The sequence below is a fragment of the Homo sapiens genome, chromosome 1 (assembly GCF_000001405.40).
Source record: "Homo sapiens chromosome 1, GRCh38.p14 Primary Assembly".
In the NCBI taxonomy this organism is placed as follows: Eukaryota; Metazoa; Chordata; class Mammalia; order Primates; family Hominidae; genus Homo; species Homo sapiens.
In genome coordinates this window covers 148,517,062-148,541,575 of record NC_000001.11, presented here as the reverse complement: position 1 = coordinate 148,541,575, position 24,514 = coordinate 148,517,062, and the positions used below count along the sequence as shown (strand labels likewise).

At 45.1% G+C, this 24,514-nt stretch overlaps 1 protein-coding gene and 2 non-coding genes across 4 annotated transcripts in view, besides 4 other annotated features; 1 reads left to right on the top strand and 2 right to left on the bottom strand.

Annotated features, from left to right (window-relative positions):
• The window catches only part of NBPF14 (NBPF member 14), a 64,627-nt gene extending 54,436 nt beyond the window's left edge, over positions 1-10,191 (top strand). For both annotated transcript variants that reach the window (NM_001395631.1, NM_015383.2), the window contains 11 exons: positions 454-626; positions 1,346-1,397; positions 1,994-2,166; positions 2,876-2,927; positions 3,570-3,742; positions 4,457-4,565; positions 5,180-5,352; positions 6,072-6,123; positions 6,720-6,892; positions 7,607-7,715; positions 8,328-10,191. In NM_001395631.1, the coding sequence (NP_001382560.1) occupies positions 454-626; positions 1,346-1,397; positions 1,994-2,166; positions 2,876-2,927; positions 3,570-3,742; positions 4,457-4,565; positions 5,180-5,352; positions 6,072-6,123; positions 6,720-6,892; positions 7,607-7,715; positions 8,328-8,571 (1,483 nt within the window). In that variant the 3' untranslated portion in view covers positions 8,572-10,191. The remainder of the gene's footprint in view (positions 1-453; positions 627-1,345; positions 1,398-1,993; positions 2,167-2,875; positions 2,928-3,569; positions 3,743-4,456; positions 4,566-5,179; positions 5,353-6,071; positions 6,124-6,719; positions 6,893-7,606; positions 7,716-8,327) is intronic.
• Positions 12,091-12,350: a silencer, noted in NCBI's record as "silent region_1287". NCBI's record gives its function as "represses an Ori minimal core promoter by ATAC-STARR-seq in GM12878 lymphoblastoid cells {active_cell/tissue: GM12878}" and the evidence as "EXISTENCE:reporter gene assay evidence [ECO:0000049][PMID:35858748]".
• On the bottom strand, positions 12,246-12,319 carry TRN-GTT2-1 (tRNA-Asn (anticodon GTT) 2-1). Its single transcript has one exon. It is a non-coding gene; the product is annotated as a tRNA-Asn (tRNA).
• Positions 12,836-12,885: an enhancer, noted in NCBI's record as "active region_1649". NCBI's record gives its function as "activates an Ori minimal core promoter by ATAC-STARR-seq in GM12878 lymphoblastoid cells {active_cell/tissue: GM12878}" and the evidence as "EXISTENCE:reporter gene assay evidence [ECO:0000049][PMID:35858748]".
• Positions 18,740-19,059: a silencer, noted in NCBI's record as "silent region_1286". NCBI's record gives its function as "represses an Ori minimal core promoter by ATAC-STARR-seq in GM12878 lymphoblastoid cells {active_cell/tissue: GM12878}" and the evidence as "EXISTENCE:reporter gene assay evidence [ECO:0000049][PMID:35858748]".
• On the bottom strand, positions 18,811-18,975 carry RNVU1-27 (RNA, variant U1 small nuclear 27). The gene has a single exon (NR_189288.1). It is a non-coding gene; the product is annotated as an RNA, variant U1 small nuclear 27 (small nuclear RNA).
• Positions 19,360-19,419: an enhancer, noted in NCBI's record as "active region_1648". NCBI's record gives its function as "activates an Ori minimal core promoter by ATAC-STARR-seq in GM12878 lymphoblastoid cells {active_cell/tissue: GM12878}" and the evidence as "EXISTENCE:reporter gene assay evidence [ECO:0000049][PMID:35858748]".

Genomic DNA, 24,514 nt, shown 5'->3' with positions numbered 1-24,514 from the left:
TTTCCATTTCTTCCTCCCCTTATCATTTCCTAACGTACCATAGGTTGACCATACTTCAAAAGCTGTACTCTCATGGCCACTGCATCGAATTTTGAGCATATTTTATGGAAAACTATTGAGCTCACTCTTTTCATGATCACAGTTTGCTGTGTGTCATGAGGGCACTAACTCAGAGTGTCCTTTGACTCCCTTACCAGTATGTCACCTGGCCAATTCACTAGGTCACTTTCTCTCTGTCTCTGTCTCTGTCTCTGTCTCTGTCTGTCTTTCTCTTTCATTGTTTTCTACCTGGCCCTGTTCTATCCCAACATAAAGGCAATAATTTGTTACCTCATTAATGGATCTGTCCTTTTTCTTTTCAAACTCTTCCTTACGTTAGCCATGAAATCTAGCTGGGGCTGTGTGGTTTCTGATTCCCCCTGGCTTATTCTTTACTTTTTCCCACTTTTCCAGGCTCAGCAGGGAGCTGCTGGATGAGAAAGGGCCTGAAGTCTTGCAGGACTCACTGGATAGATGTTATTCAACTCCTTCAGGTTGTCTTGAACTGACTGACTCATGCCAGCCCTACAGAAGTGCCTTTTATGTATTGGAGCAACAGCGTGTTGGCTTGGCTGTTGACATGGATGGTGAGTACCTTTCTATGAAGGTGATAAGGATCCACTGAGTCTTCTGGTTAGGGTCATATTCCTACTGCAAGTGGCCCTTACTGAGCTGAGAGATGTCATTGCCACAGGGAGGAACTATAGGCACATGTAGGTTGAGTGAAACTCTAGTTCCACTTGGAAGCCCAGACAAGGGATGGGTCAGTGAGCAAGGCTCTCTTCGTAGTCTCAGGCCATGCCTGTGGCGCCCTAATCCTACTGTCAAGATGTTGGATCTGGGCAGATGTGACAAATTCACACAACTCTGATTTTGTCTCAATTTTGTAGATCTTGTAGATTTCATCCTTCACTCTAATTTCAGCGTGTAAAATCCTCACTACCATGAACAATCTGAGTATTTGATGAGACAGGGCTGAATAGTGCAGTTTTTCTCTTAGCAGCCATTTGGGGGCATTTGCTTTAAATCGATTGGAAAAATATGGCATAACCATTTGCACAAACTTGGGACAAATGATATTGGGATAACGATCTACCAGAATAGGGAATTTTACCCACAGTTTCTGGGACAAAAACCAAGGAATCTCTATGGTGATCAGCCTTCAGGCCTCCTGAAGACTATCTCTCACAGTGTCCTATTCTCATGCTGAGGAGCCTGAAGTCCCTGTGTGAGGATTAGACAGTGGATTGTTATGTGTGTAGGAGAACCAGCTTAATATGTCTGTCCATGTCTGAACTTATTGCAGAAATTGAAAAGTACAAAGAAGTGGAAGAAGACCAAGACCCATCATGCCCCAGGTAACTTTGAGCAATTATGGATGCTTAATTCTGTGTTGACACCTGGAGATGCCAGGTCCAGGGAAAACAAGAGTGTGTTCAATTTCATGTTTTCAACGAAGGTTGAATTACTCCTACTGACATTGCTGTTGGTTTTCATTGCAGTAGATGTTTAGGTTTCCATTTCTTCCTCCCCTTATCATTTACTCACTTACTATAGGTTGACCATACCTCAAAGGCTGTATGGCAACTGCATGGAATCTTGAGCAAGTTTATGGAAAATTATTGAGCCCACTCTTTTCGTGATCACTGTTCGCTGTGTGTCCCGAGGGCACTAACTCAGAGTGTCCTTTGACCCCTTCATCAGTGTGTCACCCGGCCAATTCGCTGAGCTCACTTTCTCCTCTCTCTCTCTCTCCCTCTCCCTGTCTTTCTCTTTCATTCTTTTCTACCTGGCCCTGGTCTATCCCAACATAAAGGCAATAATTCATTACCTCATTAATGGATCTGTCCTATTTCTTTTTAAACAGTTCCTTATGTTAGCCATGAAATCTAGCTGGGGCTGTGTGGTTTCTGATTCCCCCTGGCTTATTCTTTACTTTTTCCTACTTTTCCAGGCTCAGCAGGGAGCTGCTGGATGAGAAAGAGCCTGAAGTCTTGCAGGACTCACTGGATAGATGTTATTCGACTCCTTCAGGTTATCTTGAACTGCCTGACTTAGGCCAGCCCTACAGCAGTGCTGTTTACTCATTGGAGGAACAGTACCTTGGCTTGGCTCTTGACGTGGACAGTGAGTACCTTACTGTGAAGGTGATAAGCCTCCACCTGGTCTTCCAGATAGGGGTGATATTCCTGTTCCAAGTGCCCCTTACTGACCCGAGAGACGTCATTGCCGCAGTCAGGACCTATGGGCGCATATAGGTTGTAAAGAAACTGTAGTCTCAGTTGGAAGCCTAGACATGAAATGGGTCAGTGAGCAAGGCTCTATTCCTAGTCTCCAGCCATGCCTGTGGCAACCTGAGCCCGCTCTCAGCACATTGGACCCAGGCAGATGTAAAAAATTCACAGAAGTATGATTTGGACTCAAGGGTTTGTAGATTTCCTCCTTCATTCTAATTTCAGTGTCTAAAATTCTTGCATCCATGAACGAGCTGGGCATTTGATGAGACAGGGCTGAATACTTTAGTTTTCCTCCTGGAAATCATCTGGGGCATTTTCTTTGAACTGATGGGAACAATAAAGCATAACTGTTTGCACAAACTTGGGATAAATGATTTTGGGATAACGATCTACCAGAATGGGGATATTTCACCCTTGGTTCTGAGATGCAAACCAAAGAATATCATGACCAGCTTTCAGGCCTCCTGAAGTATATCTCTCACATTGTCCTGTTCTCATGCTGAGGAGCCTGAGATCCCTGTGTGGGGATTAGACAGTGGACTGTTATGGGTGTAGGTGAATTGGCTTATTTTGTCTGTCCCTGTCTGAATGTATTGCAGGAATTAAAAAGGACCAAGAAGAGGAAGAAGACCAAGGCCCACCATGCCCCAGGTAACTGAGCAATTGTGAACAGCTACTTCTGTGTTGACATCTGGAGACTCCTGGTTCAGGGAAAACAGAGCGGGCTGACATTATCGATTACATCTTTTCAACCAAGCCTGAATTATTCCTACTAACATTGCTGTTGGTTTTCATTGCAGTAGATATTTAGGTTTCCATTTCTTCCTCCCCTTATCATTTACTAACCTACTGTAGGTGGACCAGACTTCAAAAACTGTATTCTCATGGCGACTGCATGGAAACTTGAGCACATTTTATGGAAAATTATTGAGCACAGTCTTTTCATGATCCCTGTATGCTGTGTGTCCTGAGGGCACTAACTCAGAGTGTCCTGTTACTCCCTCATCAGTGTGTCACCTGGACAATTCACTGAGCTCGTTCTCTCTCTCTCTGTGTGTGTGTGTGTGTGTGTGTGTGTGTGTGTGTGTGTGTGTGTCTATCTGTCTTTCTCTTTCATTCTTTTCCATTTGGCCCTGTTCTGTCCCAACATGAAGGCAATAATTTGTTACCTCATTAATGGATCTATCCTTTTAGTTTTTTAACCACTTCCCTATGCTACCCATGAAACCTAGTTGGGGCTCTGTTGTGTCTGATTTCCCCTGGCTTATTCTTTACTTTTTCCTCCTTTTCCAGGCTCAGCAGGGAGCTCCTGGAGGTAGTAGAGCCTGAAGTCTTGCAGGACTCACTGGATAGATGTTATTCAACTCCTTCCAGTTGTCTTGAACAGCCTGACTCCTGCCAGCCCTATGGAAGTTCCTTTTATGCATTGGAGGAAAAACATGTTGGCTTTTCTCTTGACGTGGGAGGTGAGTACCTTTCTATGAAGGTGATAAGGATCCACTGAGTCTTCCATATAAAGATCATATTCCTGCTCCAAGTGGCCATTACTGAGCTGAGAGATGTCATTGCCACAGGGAGGACCTATAGGCACATGTAGGTTGAATGAAACTCTAGTTCTACCTGGAAGCCCAGACAAGGGATGGGTCAGTGAGCAAGACTCTCTTCCTAGTCTCAGGCCATACCTGTGGCGCCCTGATCCTATTCTCATGACATTGGACCTGGGCAGATGTGACAAATTCAGAGAACTATGATTTTGACTCAAGGGTTTGTAGATTTCCTTTTTCACTCTAATTTCAGTGTCTAAAGTCCTCACAACCATGAACAATCTGAGTATTTGATGAGACAGGGCTAAATATTGCAGTTTTTCTCCTAGAAATCATTTGAGGGTATTTGCTTTAAGTTGATTGGAAAAATATGGCGTAACTGTTTGCACAAACTTGGGACAAATGATATTGGGATAACGATCTACTAGAATAGGGACATTTTACCCACAGTTTCTGGGAGAAAAACCGAGGAATTTCTATCATGACCAGCCTTCAGGCCTCCTGAAATATATCTCTCACAGTGTCCTATTCTTATGCTGAGGAGCCTGAGGTCCCTGTGTGAGGATTAGACAGTGGATTGTTATGTGTGTAGGGGAATCAGCTTAATGTGTCTGTCCATGTCTGAATTTATTGCAGAAATTGAAAAGAAGGGGAAGGGGAAGAAAAGAAGGGGAAGAAGATCAAAGAAGGAAAGAAGAAGGGGAAGAAAAGAAGGGGAAGAAGATCAAAACCCACCATGCCCCAGGTGACTTTCAGCAATTGTGGATGCTTAATTCTGTGTTAACACCTGGAGGCAACAGATTCAGGGAAACCAGAGTGTGTTTGATGACATGTTTTCAGCGAAGGCTGAATTACTCCTACTGTCATTGCTGTTGGTTTTCATTGCAGTAGATGTTTAGGTTTCCATTTCTTCCTCCCCTTATCATTTCCTAACGTACCATAGGTTGACCATACTTCAAAAGCTGTACTCTCATGGCCACTGCATCGAATTTTGAGCATAGTTTATGGAAAACTATTGAGCTCACTCTTTTCATGATCACAGTTTGCTGTGTGTCATGAGGGCACTAACTCAGAGTGTCCTTTGACTCCCTTACCAGTATGTCACCTGGCCAATTCACTAGGTCACTTTCTCTCTGTCTCTGTCTCTGTCTCTGTCTCTGTCTCTGTCTGTCTTTCTCTTTCATTGTTTTCTACCTGGCCCTGTTCTATCCCAACATAAAGGCAATAATTTGTTACCTCATTAATGGATCTGTCCTTTTTCTTTTCAAACTCTTCCTTACGTTAGCCATGAAATCTAGCTGGGGCTGTGTGGTTTCTGATTCCCCCTGGCTTATTCTTTACTTTTTCCCACTTTTCCAGGCTCAGCAGGGAGCTGCTGGATGAGAAAGGGCCTGAAGTCTTGCAGGACTCACTGGATAGATGTTATTCAACTCCTTCAGGTTGTCTTGAACTGACTGACTCATGCCAGCCCTACAGAAGTGCCTTTTATGTATTGGAGCAACAGCGTGTTGGCTTGGCTGTTGACATGGATGGTGAGTACCTTTCTATGAAGGTGATAAGGATCCACTGAGTCTTCTGGTTAGGGTCATATTCCTACTGCAAGTGGCCCTTACTGAGCTGAGAGATGTCATTGCCACAGGGAGGACCTATAGGCACATGTAGGTTGAGTGAAACTCTAGTTCCACTTGGAAGCCCAGACAAGGGATGGGTCAGTGAGCAAGGCTCTCTTCCTAGTCTCAGGCCATGCCTGTGGCGCCCTAATCCTACTCTCAAGATGTTGGATCTGGGCAGATGTGACAAATTCACACAACTCTGATTTTGTCTCAATTTTGTAGATCTTGTAGATTTCATCCTTCACTCTAATTTCAGCGTCTAAAATCCTCGCTACCATGAACAATCTGAGTATTTGATGAGACAGGGCTGAATAGTGCAGTTTTTCTCCTAGCAGCCATTTGGGGGCATTTGCTTTAAATCGATTGGAAAAATATGGCATAACCATTTGCACAAACTTGGGACAAATGATATTGGGATAACGATCTACCAGAATAGGGAATTTTACCCACAGTTTCTGGGACAAAAACCAAGGAATCTCTATGGTGATCAGCCTTCAGGCCTCCTGAAGACTATCTCTCACAGTGTCCTATTCTCATGCTGAGGAGCCTGAAGTCCCTGTGTGAGGATTAGACAGTGGATTGTTATGTGTGTAGGAGAACCAGCTTAATATGTCTGTCCATGTCTGAACTTATTGCAGAAATTGAAAAGTACCAAGAAGTGGAAGAAGACCAAGACCCATCATGCCCCAGGTAACTTTGAGCAATTATGGATGCTTAATTCTGTGTTGACACCTGGAGATGCCAGGTCCAGGGAAAACAAGAGTGTGTTCAATTTCATGTTTTCAGCGAAGGTTGAATTACTCCTACTGACATTGCTGTTGGTTTTCATTGCAGTAGATGTTTAGGTTTCCATTTCTTCCTCCCCTTATCATTTACTCACTTACTGTAGGTTGACCATACCTCAAAGGCTGTATGGCAACTGTATGGAATCTTGAGCAAGTTTATGGAAAATTATTGAGCCCCCTCTTTTCATGATCACTGTTCGCTGTGTGTCCCGAGGGCACTAACTCAGAGTGTCCTTTGACCCCTTCATCAGTGTGTCACCCGGCCAATTCGCTGAGCTCACTTTCTCCTCTCTCTCTCTCTCCCTCTCCCTGTCTTTCTCTTTCATTCTTTTCTACCTGGCCCTGGTCTATCCCAACATAAAGGCAATAATTCGTTACCTCATTAATGGATCTGTCCTTTTTCTTTTTAAACTGTTCCTTATGTTAGCCATGAAATCTAGCTGGGGCTGTGTGGTTTCTGATTCCCCCTGGCTTATTCTTTACTTTTTCCTACTTTTCCAGGCTCAGCAGGGAGCTGCTGGATGAGAAAGATCCTGAAGTCTTGCAGGACTCACTGGATAGATGTTATTCGACTCCTTCAGGTTATCTTGAACTGCCTGACTTAGGCCAGCCCTACAGCAGTGCTGTTTACTCATTGGAGGAACAGTACCTTGGCTTGGCTCTTGACGTGGACAGTGAGTACCTTACTATGAAGGTGATAAGCCTCCACCTGGTCTTCCAGATAGGGGTGATATTCCTATTCCAAGTGGCCCTTACTCACCCGAGAGATGTCATTGCCGCAGGCAGGACCTATGGGCGCATATAGGTTGTAATGAAACTGTAGTCTCAGCTGGAAGCCTAGACATGAAATGGGTCAGTGAGCAAGACTCTCTTCCTAGTCTCAGGCCATACCTGTGGCGCCCTGATCCTATTCTCATGACATTGGACCTGGGCAGATGTGACAAATTCAGAGAACTGTGATTTTGACTCAAGGGTTTGTAGATTTCCTTTTTCACTCTAATTTCAGTGTCTGGAGTCCTCACTACCATGAACAATCTGAGTATTTGATGAGACAGGGCTAAATATTGCAGTTTTTCTCCTAGAAATCATTGAGGGTATTTGCTTTACGTTGATTGGAAAAATATGGCGTAACTGTTTGCAGAAACTTGGGACAAATGATATTGGGATAACGATCTACTAGAATAGGGACATTTTACCCACAGTTTCTGGGAGAAAAACCGAGGAATTTCTATCATGACCAGCCTTCAGGCCTCCTGAAATATATCTCTCACAGTGTCCTATTCTTATGCTGAGGAGCCTGAGGTCCCTGTGTGAGGATTAGACAGTGGATTGTTATGTGTGTAGGGGAATCAGCTTAATGTGTCTGTCCATGTCTGAATTTATTGCAGAAATTGAAAAGAAGGGGAAGGGGAAAAAAAGAAGGGGAAGAAGATCAAAGAAGGAAAGAAGAAGGGGAAGAAAAGAAGGGGAAGAAGATCAAAACCCACCATGCCCCAGGTGACTTTCAGCAATTGTGGATCCTTAGTTCTGTGTTAACTCCTGGAGGCAACAGATTCAGGGAAACCAGAGTGTGTTTGATGTCATATTTTCAACAAAGGCTGAATTACTCCTACTGTCATTGCTGTTGGTTTTCATTGCAGTAGATGTTTAGGTTTCCATTTCTTCCTCCCCTTATCATTTCCTAACGTACCATAGGTTGACCATACTTCAAAAGCTGTACTCTCATGGCCACTGCATCGAATTTTGAGCATATTTTATGGAAAACTATTGAGCTCACTCTTTTCATGATCACAGTTTGCTGTGTGTCATGAGGGCACTAACTCAGAGTGTCCTTTGACTCCCTTACCAGTATGTCACCTGGCCAATTCACTAGGTCACTTTCTCTCTGTCTCTGTCTCTGTCTCTCTCTCTCTGTCTTTCTCTTTCATTGTTTTCTACCTGGCCCTGTTCTATCCCAACATAAAGGCAATAAATTTTTTTTTTACCTCATTAATGGTTCTATCCTTTTTCTTTTCTAACCACTTCCTTATGTTGCTTCTGAAATCTAGCTGGGGCTCTGTGGTGTCTGATTTTCCCTGGCTGCTTCTTTAGTTTTGTCTCCTTTTCCAGGCTCAACGGCGTGCTGATGGAAGTGGAAGAGCGTGAAGTCTTACAGGACTCACTGGATAGATGTTATTCGACTCCGTCAATGTACTTTGAACTACCTGACTCATTCCAGCACTACAGAAGTGTGTTTTACTCATTTGAGGAACAGCACATCAGCTTCGCCCTTTACGTGGACAATAGGTTTTTTACTTTGACGGTGACAAGTCTCCACCTGGTGTTCCAGATGGGAGTCATATTCCCACAATAAGCAGCCCTTAGTAATCCGAGAGATGTCATTCCTGCAGGCAGGACCTATAGGCAAGTGAAGATTTGAATGAAAGTACAGTTCCATTTGGAAGCCCAGACATAGGATGGGTCAGTGGGCATGGCTCTATTCCTATTCTCAAACCATGCCAGTGGAAACCTGTGCGCAGTCTGAAGACAATGGACCCACGTTAGGTGTGACACGTTCACATAACTGTGCAGCACATGCCGGGAGTGATCAGTCAGACATTTTAATTTGAACCACGTATCTCTGGGTAGCTACAAAATTCCTCAGGGATTTCATTTTGCAGGCATGTCTCTGAGCTTCTATACCTGCTCAAGGTCATTGTCATCTTTGTGTTTAGCTCATCCAAAGGTGTTACCCTGGTTTCAATGAACCTAACCTCATTCTTTGTGTCTTCAGTGTTGGCTTGTTTTAGCTGATCCATCTGTAACACAGGAGGGATCCTTGGCTGAGGATTGTATTTCAGAACCACCAACTGCTCTTGACAATTGTTAACCCGCTAGACTCCTTTGGTTAGAGAAGCCACAGTCCTTCAGCCTCCAATTGGTGTCAGTACTTAGGAAGACCACAGCTAGATGGACAAACAGCATTGGGAGGCCTTAGCCCTGCTCCTCTCTATTCCATCCTGTAGAGGTCAGGAGTCAGGAGTCGCTGGCAGGAGACAGCATGTCACCCAGGACTCTGCCGGTGCAGAATATGAACAATGCCATGTTCTTGCAGAAAACGCTTAGCCTGAGTTTCATAGGAGGTAATCACCAGACAACTGCAGAATGTAGAACACTGAGCAGGACAACTGACCTGTCTCCTTCACATAGTCCATATCACCACAAATCACACAACAAAAAGGAGAAGAGATATTTTGGGTTCAAAAAAAGTAAAAAGATAATGTAGCTGCATTTCTTTAGTTATTTTGAACCCCAAATATTTCCTCATCTTTTTGTTGTTGTCATGGATGGTGGTGACATGGACTTGTTTATAGAAGACAGGTCAGCTGTCTGGCTCAATGATCTACATTCTGAAGTTGTCTGAAAATGTCTTCATGATTAAATTCAGCCTAAACGTTTTGCCAGGAACACTGCAGAGACAATGCTGTGAGTTTCCAACCTCAGCCCATCTGCGGGCAGAGAAGGTCTAGTTTGTCCATCACCATTATGATATCAGGACTGGTTACTTGGTTAAGGAGGGGTCTAGGAGATCTGTCCCTTTTAGAGACACCTTACTTACAATGAAGTACTTGGGAAAGTGGTTTTCAAGAGTATAAATATCCTGTATTCTAATGATCATCCTCTAAACATTTTATCATTTATTAATCCTCCCTGCCTGTGTCTATTATTATATTCATATCTCTACACTGCAAATTTGGGGTCTCAATTTTTACTGTGCCTTTGTTTTTACTAGTGTCTGCTGTTGCAAAAAGAAGACATTCTCTGCCTGAGTTTTAATTTTTGTCCAAAGTTAATTTTAATCTATACAATTAAAACCTTTTGCCTATCACTCTGGACTTTTGGATTGTTTTTTACATTCAGTGTTATAATATTTGATTATGGTGATTGGTTTTGGTGGGTACTGATGCGAATTAATAAAAACATTTCATTTCCATGTTTATTTTCTAATCTCTTCCACATTGTAGGCTATGTTTACCATATGTAGCAGAATGTATTTACATTTCTTGGTTCTAGTCATTTGTATTCTTCGTGAGTGTGTGTGTGTGTGTGTGTCTGTGTGTGTGTCTGTGTGTGCCTTTGGCATTTAGGAAGGGTTGTATAGCTCATGTTAAATATTGCACTAAAAATGTTTTTGATGGTTTTCCTCCCTTTGGACTAGACACACTTCTAATATTTGGTTTATAGTTTTAAATTATAACTTTCAGCATCAAATATTTCCATACAACAGTCAATTACATGATGTGTTTTCTTTTTCCTACCTCCTTTACCTGCCACTTCTCATAATAGTATTTGAACCTAAACATATACCGGTGACATTCTGTGATTATCATCTTGCCCCTACCTTGGTTTTGGTTTTTGGTGCAGTTCCAGGCTCTTGGTGTCTTTGTTTGGGACACCAAGAGCCTGGAACTGCACGGCACCAGCTGGTAAGAATTAGGCTTTTTTGGCCTGGTGCGGTGGCTTATGCCTGTAATCCCAGCACTTTGCGAGGCCAAGGCGGGCGGATCACGAGGTCAGGAAATCGAGACCGTCCTGGCTAACACGGTAAAACCCCATCTCTACTAAAAATAAAAAAAATTAGCCGGGCGTGGTGGCGGGCACCTGTAGTCCCAGCTACTCGGGAGGCTGAGGCAGGAGAATGGCCTGAACCCGGGAGGCGGAGCTTGCAGTGAGCCGAGATCGCGCCACTGCACTCCAGCCTGGGCGACAGAGAGAGACTCCGTCTCAAAAAAAAAAAAAAAAAAAAAAAAAGGCTTTTTTTTTCCCTAAGGGTTAACAACAAACCAGCCCTATGGAAAGACTTGCTTCACCACTGTTATCAACCAACGGCCTGATGCTTTTCCTCAGTTTTGTGATTTTGACAAAACAAGCAAGCAGCATTCCCTCCTGATAAGAGACCACCGACCTAGGAATGATTCTGGCCAGACTAGAGAGGATGCACAGTGAGGGTTTTCATGTCCTTTGCTTCAGCTTTTGATGTCAGAGGGCCACAAACTCCACTCTCAGATGATTGCTAATGCCACCATTTTATGAACATGGGCCCCATGGAGAGGCACGAAGCTCAATTGCACTTCTGCACATTTTTCCTCCTATAAATATTGCTATTGGAATATTATTTGGTACGGCTCCCGTGAAAGATACATTTGCGGAATGTACTCAAATTAGAAGCATCATGTAAACCCTATAATGTAGCAATAGTGCATCAACTTCCCTACACTATAGAAATATCTGCGGTGTAGACATTTCCACAATGACCAAAGATATGTGTACAAGAAAGGTGGCTGCAGCATTCTTTGTAATCCTAAAACAATGAAACCTACCTCATCTCAAAAACTTTATTTTTTTATTTTTATTTTTTTTGAGATGGAGTCTCGCTCTGTTGCCCAGGCGGGAGTGTAGCGGTGCAGCCTCCACTGGTGCAGCCTCCACTGCAGCCTCCACCTCCCAGGTTCAAATGATTCTCCTGCCTCAGAATCCCAAGTACCTGGGATTACAGGCACATGCCACCATGCCTGGCTAACAAAAACATTTTGAAAAGGGTTAAATAAATCATGCACAAACTGAGGAAAAATACTCTTTTCAAAAATGATGGAGAGGATCACTATGATGATGAATGATTCCACTGGTCACATTGTTGATAGAGCAATCAGTAAATCCAGGCACATCCTCGGGATATTACTGACCTCCTATTATTAAAATATGAAAAAATGAAGGCATGTAAATTACTCGTTTAAGCGTATAACGGACTGAATTAGAATTTTATCACACCAGAAGTGGGTTCCTAGGGCTCTGTTTCAGGATTCCTGAGTTACACACGTATAAACCCAGGATTTCAGGAGATACCCGGTTAAGAATCCGGTCGGGGAGATGGGCTGGCCCTTGACATGGATAAGTCACAAATTAGTGGCTTAGGACTCCAGGAAGATAAAATCTTCCCCATTTATCTAGTGATTGACAATATATGAATACTTTAAAAGCTCGAACAAGCGTCCCTGGGTGGGCTCGAACCACCAACCTTTCGGTTAACAGCCGAACGCGCTAACCGATTGCGCCACAGAGACAGGTACTGTCAGTTCTACTGGGCGCTATAGGAAGGGCGCACGCACGAAACTTCCTCCGTCCCTTGCATCCTCAGGGCCCGCCCAGCAGGACGACTGAGCAGGCCTTGGAAGACCGGAGAGATTGGAGCGGTAAGTCGCGCTGGTCACGTTGGACACCTGCGCGTTGGGAGATTCTGGAGCCAGAAGGATAGCCGAATGGCCTTCGCCCGCCCTGCCCCTCACCTGCTTCAGAAACCCCCGGAAACGCCCCGGTTGAGACCCCGGCCCGAGCCGCCTGGGGGCCCTAGGGAGGCTGAACGCCCGGTGGCTCCCGGGATGGCTCTTCCCGTTCTTTGCGCCGCCTTCACCCAGTGAGGGAGCCTGTGCCCTCCCTGCCCAGTCGCTTTTGGGGCCGCTGCGGAGCTTCCGCTGCCATCTTCGGATCCTGTGTTCCGCACGGGGGCTCCACCAGAGCAGGGATCGTGGTGAGGGTGGCTCGTGGGTCCCCCTCGCGGGGAGCAGGGTCTGGCACTCACCAGGGCGCAGGACTAGGACTTGTCGAATGAATCCATCCTTTTAGCTTTTAGTCCTTTGAAGAGCCTTGAGAATGGAAATCATGAGAGATTTTTCCATGGGGAAGTTCCTTTTACAAAGCATTTATTTACGTGGACTTCTTGGCACCCCGCGGGGCGGCAACGGGCAGGGCCTCCAGTGCACCTTCTGCGCCGTGGAGCCGCGGGGGCTCAGCTGGGCGGTGGTCGGGTCCTGAGGCCGGAGGGCGGGAGCAGGGGAGGGGAAAAGCAAAAGCGGGGAAAGAAGCCGGGGAGCGGTGGACCAGACGTCCAGACCTCCTGAAAGGCTGGCGGGGAGGCACAGGCGGGATCTTCCGGAGGTGAGAATTTTTTTTTATTATAGCAGAATGGGGAGGAATTGAGGGGAAAATGGAGATAGAACCTGAAAGAGCCCCAAACGCCAGAACCTGTAGCTCCCCAAGAATAAGATCTTCCAGAAGAACTAGACCCAAAACTAGCCGTTGGGGAACACCGAAATCCTTGGAGGAGCAACATCCGCATGACCCTCTGTGTTCCTTTAGGCAAAAGGACTTGCTTCCATGGTTTGTTCAATTGTTCGTGTTTGTTAAATAAATAAAACGATTTTCATGTATCTTTGAAATTACTTTGGCGCTACTATTTTATGATTGCAAATAATACGGCAGTGATCATTCTTGTACACTTCTCATTGGCCATTTGTGTATTTCTATAGGGTAGAGGCCTGGAGAGCAGTTGCTCCAGCATAGGGATTACACAGTTTTTGTTTGTTTGTTTGTTTATTTATTTATTTATTTATTTTTGAGACAGAGTCTCGCTCTGTCACCCAGGCTGGAGTGCAGTGGCGCCATCTCAGCTCTCACTGCAACCTCCGCCTCCCGGGTTCAAGCGAATCTCCTGCTTCAGCCTCCCAAGTAGCTGAGATTACAGGTCCGCGCGAGCCACCACATCGGGCTAATTTTTGTATTTTTAGTAGAGACGGGGTTTCATCGTTTTGGCCAGGCAGGTCTCAAACTCCTGACCTCAAGTGATCTGCCTGCCTTGGCCTCTCAAAGTGCTGGGATTACAGGCATGAGCCACCGCACCCAGCGATTACATGTTTTTTTTTTTATATATCATTCTATTTTCTTTCCTTATTTGGCTTATTAGCTGTAACTCTTTCTTTTGTTATGTCAGTGATGGCTTTAGGGTCCCTAGAATACATCTTTATCCGTCTGCCATCAAGTGACATTATACCTCCCCTTCTGGCCTTTATGCTAGTGTTGTCAGGGAATTTGATTTTGGACATGTTATAAACCCCAACATCCAAGTACGTACATAGCGATTTTCAGTCGTCTCCATTTCTTTGTGTAGGTTCAGATTTCTGTTTGGTATCCTTATCCTTAGGCCTGGAGGACTCCTTTAATATTTCTTGTAGTGTGGTTCGGTGAATTCTGTCATTTTTTTGTATGTCTTTAAATGTCCTGATTTCAGTCACATTTTTGAAAGATATTTCAATTTGGCATAGAATTCTAGAATAACTTTTTTTCTCTCAGTACTTAAGGATGTTGCCACTTTGACGCTTTGTCATTGACATATCTTTCCTGTTTTTGTAAACTTGGCATAAAGTGGGTTTCCTGTACTTGTTATATGATTTTTGGATTGTGTATTCAAATTAAAAGTATTAAATTAAAATTAAAATGGCCTGGGCGAGGTGGCTCACACCTGTAATCCCAGCACTTTGGGAAGGGGAGGCAGAGGATCGCTTGAGACCCAGAGTTGGAGACCACCCTGGGCAAGATAGCAAGACCCTGTGTGTGTGTGTGTGTGTGTGTGTGTGTGTGTGTATACACATAAATATGTATATATATTATATGTATGTATATATATATAAGTCCTACAGTCACCTTAAGTTCCACCAACAGTGCGCTTAAAGTAAAATGTGCCCAACCTGAGGCTCAAACCTACCTGCTGGCACGCAATTTGTGTTTGTAAGACAATCTCAACAGCATTTGCTTTTTCTAGCATAGTGGTTTTCCTGTTTTCCTCACATGTGAATGTCTTCAGTGCAAAACCTGTCAGAATTCATTTCCTTTGCTAAAATGTTTTAAAATAACTCTTACTTCAAGTAAGTGCATTAAAAATAAACTTCTCAGTTGCATCCCTGGAATCCATGGAAAGTCCAGGAGAGACAATCAAGTGCTACAGGATCAAGCCCAAACAGAACAGGACTAGGCATGGCTTCCTCACTAGGAGCCAGGTCAAAGTCATCTCCTTTGGTCTCCAATGGAGGCCAGAACTCGGTTCACCTGCAACGGGAGGACCTGGCCCAGAAGAGGTGGCCTTCATCTTCATGGTGCCTTCAGATAGGAAATCTAGGATTTCTTTTCTTCTATTTGATCTACTTCCAACTCTCCCTTTCTATTTATTTATTTATTTATTTATTTATTTGAGACAGAGTCTTGCTGTGTTGCCCAGGCTAGAGTGCAGCGGGGCAGTCTCAGCTCACTGCACCTCCGCCTCCGGGGTTCTAGAGATTCTCCTGCCTCAGCCTCCTGAGTAGCTGGGATTACAGGCGCCCGTCACCGCGCCCGGCTACTTGTTGTATTTTTAGTAGAGACAGGGTTTCACCATCTTGGCCAGGCTGGTCTCGAACTCGTGACCTCGTGATCCACCCACCTCGGCCTCCCAAAGTGCTGGGATTACAGGCGTGAGCCACCGCATCTGGCTCTCCCTTTCTATTTCTTCAAGACCTTTTTCGGATCCCTCCTGCGCAGGACCTAAATGGGCGGTGCCCTTACCCACTGGTCCCTCCCTGCCTGGTGTCTTCGGAGCCCTAGCTCACCCGGAACGTTACTGCCCGCCGGTGACAGCGAGAGGACCAAAGAGGGCAGCGGGTGCGGTGGGAACCACAGAGTCACCGTGCACCTGCGCCTCGCGGGCTCCTCGCAAATTGAATAAACGCCCCCTGAAGCTTCTCTTCAAGTCACAGGGAAGGGGAAGGTGGCTGCCGACCCGGCGGGAGAAGCCGGCCCTGCCCCTGGTCCTTGAAGACAGGTTTGGCCAGGCTGATTTTGACTGGTAGGCCCAAAGGAAAGCCTCAAGGGCAGACCAAACTCCGACAGGCTCCGAGATTAAGGCTTTCAAACGTCTGATCGTTTTCAGCTTGGTCAGTAAAATCGATCCCGCCTTTATCAGGAGATTCCTTTGTCAAAGTTCAGAGACCTGGGGTTCCCGCTGCTTGCCACACAGAAAACCAATCACTGAGACGGTTATTGTCAAGGAAGAGGCTTTAATAGGGTGCTGCAGCGGAGGAGATGAGAACTCAGTCTCAAATCCATCTCCCTGACCAACCAAAACTAGAGGCTTAGATGGCAGGGAAAGAATGTGACAATGTGTAAGAAAACAGGAACTAGACCAGGCGCGGTGGCTCACGCCTGTAATCCCAGCACTTTGGGAGGCCGAGGCGGGCGGATCACGAGGTCAGGAGATCGAGACCATCCTGGCTAACACGGTGAAACCCCGTCTCTACTAGAAATACGAAAAGAAATTAGCCGGGCGTGGTGGCCGGCGCCTGTAGTCCCAGCTACTCGGGAGGCTGAGGCAGGAGAATGGCGTGAACCCGGGAGGCGGAGCTTGCAGTGAGCCAAGATAGCGCCACTGCACTCCAGCCTGGGAGGCAGAGGGAGACTCTGTCGCAAAAAGAAAAAAAAAAAGAAAAGAAAAGAAAGAAAACAGGAACTAGGGAGGGGCAAGGAAGCAATCAGGATGAATGAGGGGTCCGGCATCTCATTGTCTGGGTGACTTTCAGTTCTTTGATATCTTTTTTGAGAGGCCTGAAGGAAGGAACTCAAATAAAACAAATATCGAGTTTCAAACTTTCAGATCAGAAGGGTCCATTTCTATGTTTATCCAAAAATCTACGTATGGGACTATTGGGTGGGTTTCAGACCAAGAAAGAGTGTGCATATCAAAGTCTGCAGTTAACCAAAGAGAAAACATAATTTTCCGACCAATAGGATGTATGGGGGTCAAAGAACGACCAGCCTACAGTACTGTTTATTGGCCTGAGCATACGGAAGGATGAAGTTGCACCAGCGAAATGGGATTAAGCTGCAGGTGCGGGCTGGGCGCGGTAGCTCACACCTGTAATCCCAGCACTCTGGGAGGCTGAGGTGGGTGGATGACTTGAGATCAGGAGTTTGAGACCAGCCTGACCAACATGGTGAAACCTCGTCTCTAATAAAAATACAAAAATTAGCCGGGCGTCATGGCGGGCACCTGTAGTCCCAGCTACTAGGGAGGCCGAGGCAGGAGAATTGCTTGAACCCGGGAGATGGAGGTTTTAATGAGCCGAAATTGCGCCACTGCCCTCCAGCCCGGGCAACAGACCGAGACACCTTCTCAAGCAAAAATAAAAACAAAAAGCTGCAGGTGGAAAAAAAAGTCTGGATTTTGGTTCAGAGCCCCTGGGGCCTTCCTCAGTAGTTTTCTCTTTCCTTGAAAAAGGAAGCCTGTCTCAGTCTCTGCATCTCTCTGAGTCCTTTTGGAGATTGAGGATGGTGAGGTCTCAGTGCTTGGCCCCCTTCTAATTCTGGGTACCTCCCCTCCCGTGGGTCAACCTGGTCCAGTGCACAGGCCCCAGCTCCGACGACCATCTCCCCCCTACCCTTTGCTCCCAGCAAAGGCCATTTCTAGGTCAGTCGTGAGGTACAGCCAGGACAGGGCAGCTCGCTCCGAGATTTTTGGCTCTCGAAGGCCTTGAGCGCTGTGGTTCTGCAGAACGCTGTCTGCCTCTTGTGGAGGAACTGACACCCGCTGGAGAAAGTGTGGAGGGAAGCGAGGGCTGCACCTGCACGCAGGAGCTGAGGCAAGCGGCGGTTCCCAGCTCTCAGTGCAAAAGACATTTGTCATCTGAGAGGCTGGACTCAGTTATTATAATTTTCAATTTTGTCAATAAAAACCGAATGGAAATTTGTTTTCTTACTTGTAGAAACCTCCTCGCAAGACCTCCCATCTTACATTCCAGGGAGAATTAGCAGGGTATTCCGCCAAGACATAGGTTAGACTGCGGTTCTGATCTGCAGGCCTCGATGCCCTGCGCCGGGGCACCAGGGCACGGGCAAAGCCCTCCCCCTACACAAAGCAAGGGTGTTATGTCTACAACCGAACGGGGACACTAAGAGCCCCCAACATGCACGGTTTTCATTCCAAAGAAAACCACCAGTTCTGAGTACAACTTCCACCTGGCTCTATTAACTGAGTACACGTTTCCCCAGCACAGAAATCCTACAAACTCCCGTGAATGCTGTGGTGAAAAGCAGGAGCTGCCAGGGCAAGATGGATCGCACCTGTAATCCCAGCACTTCAGAAGGCTGGGCGGACCACTTGAGCCCAGGAGTTGGAGCCCAGCCTGAGCAGAATGGTGAAACCGCTACGAAAAAAGAAAAAGAAAGGAAAGAGAAAGAAAAGAAAAGAAAAAAAAAGAGAAAAAACTAGCCGGGTGTGGTGGCGTGCGGTTGTCCTACTCGGGAGCCTGAGATGGGAAGATCGCGCCACTTCTCCAGCCTGGACGGTACAGCGAGACTTGTCTTAGGGAGGGGGGGAAAAAAAACAACAAAAAAAACAGAGGCTAAGAGGTAACTCCGAGGATGACAGAAAACACCAGAGTTTTTAAGAGATGTTAGAAGCCCTGGGAGCACTGAACAAACCAGAAAGCTCCCGACCCTTGATCCCTGAGCTCCACCTAGCAAGTACCGCGGCAGCTAACCTGGGAGAATACCCCAACCAACAGAGACTGAAATTCGCCTCCCGAGAGAGTAAGTGGATAATTCTAACCTGTCCCTAAACATGGCCTCACAAAGGAAAACTAACCGTTGCGAACGGAAACAACTGACCGGACAGAACACAGCCACAAAACACGAGCCCGCACCCTGAATTACAAAAACACTTACGGCTCATCTACTATTCGCACCACAAAAGCGCCAGGGGAAAGCACGAACGCAGCCCCCCACTATCACAAATTATGCAGTCGAGTTTCCCACATTTGGGGAAATCGCAGAGGTCAGCACATCTGGAACGCAATGGATAAGCCGCGACCATGAGAAAAGCGCCTTCATGATCATGGTATCTCCCCTGCCAGGTAAGTATGAACTCTTGCACTCTCCGCCCCGCCACAGCCTCACACGCTTCACCCTTTACACGCACGGTCACTTGCCCCGCGCACGCCCCCCCCCCCCCACCCCCCCCCCCCACCACCCACAGCCCTCCTAGCCCTGACACACAGCTGGGACTCTCAGGTCCGACCAGCGGTCCTGAACCCACTCCCACGGCACGGGAACTCCTTAGTGGCGAAGCAGCAGCCCCTGCGCTGCCTCATCTACATAGAAATCGCCCTATCCGTGATGTCACCGACAGCGCCTTTCCCAGTCCCCGTCTGCTCTTCCGCCCTACCCTCCGCCGACTCAGCCCATCAACCCGCTGCCGGAGCTGGCGGAGGAAGTGACGTCTGTCTCTTTCTCCTTTTCCTCCTGCCATTGTCCTTTGGGGAGGTTCGCAGAGACCCCGCGTCTGGTCTCCCCCTAAGACTGTGGTACTTGATCTGTGTCCTGCAGAGAACCCTTCTGGCGGCCAACAGGAAGCTTGTGCACCCTTCTTCAGATAATGTCTTTTAATGCGCAGACTTGAACGTTTAGGATTACAAGGAAAACCGGTTCCTTTCAAACCTGTTTATCTTTGTGATGTAGCATTCCGCTTCAAGTTGAAAGCCGTTCAATGTCAGAGAGAAAACATATCTATGAAACCAGAGAGGCTGCTCAGATGGGTTGCAAACTAGCCATCCTTACTGGTTTTACCACTAGAAGTGTTACAAAGACAGTTGTCCAATTTTATGAATCTTGAAGGGTTTTTTGTTGTTGTTGTTATTTCAAATACAGTGTAATACAAAATGATGTGGCCCCCGCAGAGACGATTGGACACTCTCAGGCATGGTGATGGAGTTTGTCATCTCTTCCACGGCCATCTCAGAACCTTAGTGCTTACCTCATATTAGTATTTTATATTCTCCAAAGACACAAAAATAATCCCAATTTGACAAAACAAACAAAAAAAATCTAGGGTATGTCTTATTTGAGGTGCTTAACAAATGACTGGATCATCTCCCTTGTATATAACCCAGAAAACACTGTGAAGTAGAGCAAAATTGGAAAGCCCAAGTCAAAGACCATTTGCAAATTTCAAGTAGATTCCAGTCTGTTGCTCAAATCACAAAACATGAAATGGAGGGGTCTCCCTTGGAGACCATAAAGTCTGTGACATGGTGGCCAGTTGGGTCACTGGAAAACATGGCAAAATATTGAAAATGAGGGATTAGGTGAGAGTGTAGCAACTGAACACTAAATGCTTGATCCAGGTGCCATTCCCTGGATACTGACAGGGAGACACATTGTCCAGGTAATACTGGAAAAATACTTTCTATAGTGTAAACCACAAATAAAATTCCAAGCCCCTCAACTATTTGAATGCACCCCTCCTCTCAGCCAGGGTCATTCCAAAGTTAACCTGAAAAACTGGTTCAGACCATGATGGGAAGTAGGGGTCAGATATGCCTCATTATACCCTCCTTCCTTTGGAATTCAGGCACAACTGACCAGCACATCCGACCAGGCCCAACTGACATTACAACAGCGATCTCAAGACTTTTTGTAGCAATAAGACACCAAACTCCAGGCTGACTCTAGTGTAGCATTACATGACAGATAGCAGGCCCTGAAAGAAATACAAATATTTTACCCTAAAATACATTTTTTATCATATTTTGAAATGTCCCTACAAAGTTGTCTCTTGTGGGGAAAGTCTACATGCTACAGGGAATCCCTTTCCAGGCCTTTTCCCTAATCTAGGCACCTTTTTAAGTCTGATAAGAAACATTTACAATCAATTCTCTCTGAAGCCTGCTACCTGGAGGCTTCATCTGCATAATAAGAACAACCCCTTAACACAGAGACTGCCTTCTATGGATTCCAGGTCTTTAGATAAACTCTTTCAACCAATTGCCAATCAAAGTATCAGAAAATAACGGCTGGTAACTATGTAATTATGCATATATATGAGTAGAATTTTGGGGGTGGGCACAGTGGCTCATGCCTGTAATCCCAGCACTCCCTCAGGAGGCTGGCAGATTGCCTGAGTCCAGGAGTTTGAGACCAGCCTGGGAAACATGGTGAAACCCCATCTCTACAAAAAAAAAAAAAAAAAAAAAAAAAAAAAAAAAAAAAATTAGCCAGGCATGGTGGTGAGCACCTGTGGTCCCAGCTACTCAGGAGGCTGAGGTGGGAGGATTACTTGAGCCTGGGAGGTGAAGGTTGCAGTGACCCAAGCTTGCAACACTGCACTTCAGCCTGGATGACAGAGGAATGGGCCTTCACTAGACACTGAACCTGCTGGCAACTTGATCTTGGACTGACCATCCTCCATAACTGTGAGCAATAAATTTTTGTTGTTTATAAGTTACTCACTCTGTGGTATTTTGTTATAGCAGCACAACTGGATTAGGACATCAACCTGACCTTAAGAAATCATCTCATTCAGTCTTGGCTCTGGTGGGAAACAAGGGGCACACTCGGATGTGTGATTTAAAGAGAGTTGTGTTTTTTTTTTTTTTTTTTTTTGAGATGGAGTCTCGCTCTGCCGCCCAGGCTGGAGTGCAGTGGTGCCATCTCGGCTCACTGCAAGCTCCGCCTCCCGGGTTCACGCCATTCTCCTGCCTCAGCCTCCCGAGTAGCTGGGACTACAGGCGCCCGCTACCACACCCGGCTAATTTTTTGTATTTTTAGTAGAGAGCGGGTTTCACCACGTTGGCCAGGATGGTCTCGATCTCTTGACCTCCCAAAGTGCTGGGATTACAGGCGTGAGCCACCGCGCCCGGCCTAAAGAGAGTTTTATGAAGAGAATATTTATAAATATAATATGGACAGGATCAAAACAACCCAACCAAGGACTGAGAGGCGCTCAGAATCTGGAATCAGCAGAGAAGTTGTATTGCCTCTAGGACTGGATTGTTGTATAAGTCTGTTCAGGTTGCCATAACAACCTGGACAGGACCGTAGTTCTGTCCAGTGATCCTCCCCAAGACAACCGTTCTCTCTAGTAACTATGGTTTTCCTTTCTCATTTCAATTGCCACCTCAATTGACTGAAATGTGAACACCAACTCCCGCACTTAAACGTTGAAGCCCTAACACCTACTGTGATGATTTATGCAGCTGGGGCCTTTGAGAGGTAATCAGGATTAAAAGAGGTTGTGAGAGTGGTGTCCTCATGCTGAGATTAATGCCATTACAAGAAGACAGACACTAGAAAGCTTGCTTGTCCGCCTTCCCCCTGGTGCACGAAGAAATGGTCACATGGGCACACAGTGAATCTACAGCCACTTACAGGCCATAGGAAGAGACCTTAGAAAGGAATCCGCTTTGCTACCACCTTTATCTTGGACTTCCCAACTTCCAGAAGTGTGAGAAATACATTTCTATAGTTTAAGCCACTTGGTGTATGGTATCTTGTTATGGCAACCTGAACAGACTTATACAACAATTAAGTTGCCTTTCCACTGATGGACTTAGACACAATCTCTTTCCCAAAAAAGAGCTATATTTAGCTACTTTTCTTTTGCATATTGTTCCATTTGCAGCCACACTATTTGTCTTCCCCCACACCACTTCTATCACCAGGAATCCATTTTCCTTGTTTTCTTTTTAATATCGGGAGCCTCTGCTCACTGCACTGCATAGTCCTTGGGGCTTTTTTTAAACTTTATTTTTAACAATCATTTGAGCAGAAAGTAGCCAATTCAGTTCTTTAATTTCCCATTTTATTCTTGGTTTGAAACTGACCTGATTGTGTCCCTTTTGTTATGACCAGTTACTTAGAAGCCATACAGCCCACAAGGTACCCTTGGGTATAAATCCAACTTCTTCATTTTAATGGTGAGAAACCAAAAGCCCACGTTTCCTGATTTCTGGCCCAGCACTGGAACTGTTTTCATGGCACGTCAATTCATCATACATTTTAATAGTGATATTTTATATTTGCATAATTTTATTGCCTTTGCAATGGGCTTTCACATCTATCTTCTCATGTGTATATAGTTTAAAGGCCATTTTTACCCACTATCTCCTAATCATATCGACCACAGCCTCAGGAAATGTCTGCTCTATTATTTCACTTGCCTGTCTGGGTTCTTGGGTGACAGCATAGAATCCTGCACTGTGTTTTCCCTCACGCTTTCTCACTCTCTGCAGAACAAATTTTTGTTACATGCCTTATTATCATGGTAATATTGGCCTTCAGTCCTGTATAGAAGCATTAAAAATGTGCGTAATGTATATCCTTTTAAAATGTTATCCTAAGAAGCATCTTTTGGAGTTAAGGAGAGTTAGATGAATAAAGAAAGAATACAGTTTCTCCTAAACAAACCCACTAAGAAAATCATGGAAAGAATTATGACAACTATGAAAATGAAGGAGGTATACTTTGTCAACAAAAGCAAAATAACCAAGCTACTCTTAGACATAATCTCACGTTATCTTTCTGTAGTGCTCTAGCATTTTCTAAGCCTTTTCACACACTGTTATCTCTTTTTTTCTTTCTCCTTCTAGAAATTAATTATGACTGTTCCTTTCAAAAATGAAGGACTTTTTTTTTTTTTTTTTACTCTTTTCATTTTTTCCTGAGACCATATGTCAAAGGGAATGTGAGGAACAACTTTGGTGTGGTAATAGCCAAATTTCTCCAGGTCTGCTCCTCAAGCTTGCAAAGTCAAGACTGGCAGAAGTGGTGATTTTTACCTGGGTATCCTGAGAACCTTGCACAGTCCTTATCACATGCAGGTGTTCAGAGTGTGCAAATAAATGAAGAAATGTGAGATTGTGATGATATTTTCATGGCATGCTTTTTTTCCACACTTCCTCATGCAGCCCAACATCCTCTACACTGTGTTGTTCTACCCGTTTAAGTGATTTACCACTTCTCCATTAAGCCAACTTAAACCATGTTGCCTTCAACTCAACATTGATTGATCCCCAATACAGTCCTGTAGGGAGGCAAGAAAACTTACAAACGAAGTGGTAAAGAAAGAGAGAGATTAAGCAATTTGCCCCAAATCTCATAACCACTAGGTGATAAATCTTCAACTAGAACTCAAATATCTGGCTGAGAATTCAGTGCTCTTTTCATTTAAATCACATTGCTTCATAAAAATAGATCTGCAGGAAGAATAAAAATGTCCAAAGTGCAATGAGACAGAGAAGATAATATGGAGACAGACATATTGCACAGAAAGCATTTGACCATATGTCTGCCTGATCCCCTTCATGTGTCTTGTTCATAACTTACTTTACTCGGGCAGCAGGAGATAGCATAACAACTGTCAGAGTGAATTTAGGCCACAGTTTTGTGTTGCTGAATGTGTTGAGTCATTTCCCTTAGTTCACATTTCTACCTAACTTTATCTTTTAAGTCATCATCATGGCTTTAATCTCTTATTTATTTTGACTGTTGAGATTTTGTAGCCATTATCCAAATAAAACATTTATTTTCACTCGTGAGTCCCTAATCCTTCGTCAATGGAATTAGCTATTTATTTGATGCAATAGCTAGACCAGTAGGGTTAAAAATGCTTTTATAAAGACATT